Source organism: Homo sapiens, chromosome 2, assembly GCF_000001405.40.
Source record: "Homo sapiens chromosome 2, GRCh38.p14 Primary Assembly".
NCBI classification, from domain to species: domain Eukaryota; kingdom Metazoa; phylum Chordata; class Mammalia; order Primates; family Hominidae; genus Homo; species Homo sapiens.
Genome location: NC_000002.12, coordinates 44,877,508 through 44,880,882, shown reverse-complemented (window position 1 = coordinate 44,880,882; position 3,375 = coordinate 44,877,508). Strand labels below are relative to the sequence as shown.

At 48.2% G+C, this 3,375-nt stretch overlaps 1 annotated feature.

The window, feature by feature from the left end:
* Positions 369-1,095: an enhancer, noted in NCBI's record as "VISTA enhancer hs149". NCBI's record gives its function as "enhancer in: midbrain (mesencephalon)[7/10]" and the evidence as "EXISTENCE:transgenic organism evidence [ECO:0001131][PMID:17130149]".

The following is a 3,375-nucleotide window of genomic DNA, read 5'->3' as shown; positions in this document are numbered from 1 at the left end:
CTGTCCCAGTGTGTGTGGGGGGGTCTACAGGGTGGGGGAAGAGCCTGCCAGGATTTGCCTTAAATCTCTGCATTTTCCCTGGGCGGCAAGAGTTAGAGGTGGATGTAGGTGGGGGTTATAGGAAGCCCACCATGTCCAGGACAATGAAAATAAAGAGAAGCATGCACATCCTGGACCAAGATGACCCCCTGCAAGATACAAAGATGGCTCAGGGCCTGCCTGGGAACAATTCCCTTGGTGTGGACCCCAAACTTGGGAGGAAAATTGAAGAGCAGAACAATTTCCATTCATGAAGAAAATGAGGAGGCTGAGTATCTTTTCAATGAGTCAGCTGTAGGCAAAGGGATTTATTTATAATATTATTATTTGGTAGAAAAGAACTTACTATGGCCAAATGTAAAAAGTATTTTTTTTGATAAGTTAAAGAGATTAAGAAAAATCGGGCCGATTTTGACAGAGAATGGTGTGTAAACGAGAGGTGTTATCAGTGAGAATCTGGCACCAGCTCCATTTTGTTATGGTGAAAAATATCAGTATTATTTACTAAGAAGATTAGGGTTGAATTGGAAGAGAGGCTGGTTGTTGTGTGCAGATGGAGATAAGATAAGGATTTTACCTTCTCTGCAAAGCCAAATGCAGCACACACAGCGCTGTTATCTCGGGGCTGGCAAGCAGGGGGATATTAAGATGTACGTTGTAATTACCAATGGCAGGAGCAAATTTCATAGCGACTATTTTAAACCCTAATAAAATGCCGGCCTTTAATTATACAGCTTTGAAATATTTTTTTCAGTTAATTGCAACCGGGGAAAATAAAATCAACCTCATATTTGAAACTGATTCTCACAGGGAAAGCCCTCGGCCTGGCGCTCCAGCTGCCTCTGAGCGCGGCGCTGCTGAGCGAGGGGCTGCCTTGGTTCTGAGTATGCAGGTTGTTTCATCGATCCTCTCGCTCCCTTAGTCTCGAGTGGGGAGAAGGAGTTAGAAAGGGTGAAGCCTTTCTGGGTAGAATTCGATTTCCCCAGGAAGACACATGCTCATCCCACAGGGAACGAAGCCTGATTTCTAAAAGCAGGAGGCAGGTGGGATGTGGGAGGGAGGAAAGGAGGGCTTGAGACCAGGGAGGGGCTTCTGCTCTGCAGAGGAGCCCCCAAGGGCTCTGGCCTGGGGAATATTCAACCCCACCAAACCTCCCCACAGGGCACACTGAGGCTGTCCATCTCTGCCCCAGCCACCATCCTGTCTATGAATCTCCTATTTCTCAGTCTCACAGATCCTTAGTCTCATGTCATTAACCTCTGTCTGTCCTCACATTAACAAAAATAATAATAACAATAGCAGTGGTACTGGCAATAGTCATAATAGCTGCAACAGGCCAGGCACTGTCCTAAGCATTCGGTATGCTTTATCCCACGTAAGTGTCACAGCAGCCCTCTGAGGCAGGTATGTACCTGGTTCAGAGTGTAACTTGCCTGGGATCACGCCTGGGGTAAAGTAACTTGCCCAGGATCACACCTGGGGTTGCCACTCGGGTCTATCTCTTGATTACCAAGCATAAACTCACCTCTCCTTTACTTCCACTGTACCACGGCTCTTGCTTGGCCAGGGCCTCGTCAACTCCTTCCTCTGACATCATTTCACACCTGGCCTCTGTGCTGCCATCACCTTCTGAGTCCTCCTCCTACTCCACTCTCATGTTGGCAAACATCAAGACCCTCTCTATTACTTCCATAGTCTGGCCCCAACTACCTTTCCTCACTCATCGTCCACTTCTTCCTCACAGGACCCTTCTGGTCCCGGAAGGTGGACCCGTGGCTCACCACACCCGCTTATCTTCTTCCCGTCTGGAACCCCAGAAGGCCTCTTTCCACTCAGCTGTTAGTCCAAGCCCAGTTCAAACTGTGCTGTCTCCTGACTCCCCCAGCCCCTGCAAGCCCTGTCTGTGCCCTGTCCTGTCCACCATCTAACCCTCTTTTCACACTTGCCTGCGGCCTTCTTTGGATAATTTAGAACATAAGCTCCCGAGGGCAGAGGAGTGGCACCTTGTTGTATCCCCAGCGACACATCATTCATGTGAGACTCCAATGATTTACTGAGTAATAATTGGTCAGCTACCTTTTAACATATGTGTGTTTTATTTCACCTGGGGACTGCAAACTGCCTGATAGCAGGAACTACATGTGAATTCATTTTACAATCCCAGCCCAGACTGCCTGTGATGGGAAAGGGTCTGGATGCATATCTTGGTCCAAGTGGTGGGAAAACCCCTAGCCAAGAAGCTGAGAGATTGCATAGCCTTAACTAGTTTGTGTCACCTTATATCCCGTAACCCTAACCTCCTATGTACAATGAGGCCAATAACCCCTACCCGCAAAGTGTGGGATGTAGGGATTCCGTGGTAACGAAGGATGAGAAAGACTTCCGACTTGATGGTAAATCACTACCTCCTCCCAGGGGCTGCTGGATTCTAAAGTCTGTTTCATTGGCTGGCACAAAAAAGAAAATCTCTCACCCTACACCACTGGCCCCTGAGCTCTGGTCACACAGTGAGCTGCAGGCAGGCAAGAGAGCACTACCTCAGGGAACCATGGTTGGGCTCTGAATGAATTGGGAGGGTTCTTCCAGAATCTTCCCTGGGGCTAGAAGGAGGCAGGGAGAGTGGAACACTGAAGATTTCCCCCATGGAAATGAAACAATTCAATCAGATATTCCTCTACTTGAATCACTTTTATTCGGGGCATCAGGTCTTCATTTAATCTTCACAAGACCCTCAGAGGTGAGCAGTATTATTATCCCTATTTTACTGATGAGAAAACGGGCTTCGAGAAGTTAAGGAACTGTCAGCTGACTGTTGAAACCACTCTCACCCTAAAGCTGCGCTCTTAACCACTATGCCTTACAGCTTCACGTGAGGCCAGCCTGCACATAGTGTGTATCCACAAAAGAGATATTTGATTATGCAGATTTAGCGCACACTGGTATGGTATATGGGTATCTTTGCAGCAATCCCACGTGTCTGTCCCACTCCATTTCCAGCCTTCCTGACAGTTAGCAATGACCAGGGCTTTGTGAGTCTCCAGCTTTGAGGAGTTGGGTCCCACTCAGCCGCAGTGCCTGGCAGTAGCCTTTTAGTCAAATATCAGGAGTCAGTCACCATGTGCTCATGGTCACAGAGCTCTGAGATTGTCACGGATGGCTGCAGCTGGCCCTGGGGTTGCAGTCTTTGTGGGTGCTGGCTGGTGTTGGGGCTCTCACTGTCCCAGAAATGATTAATACCCTGATGCTATCTCGATGGCTTTAGGAGACACCCCTCCGTGGACGGGGATGCTACTGGTTGATACAAAATGATATATTTTTTTCAATCTATTTCACGGT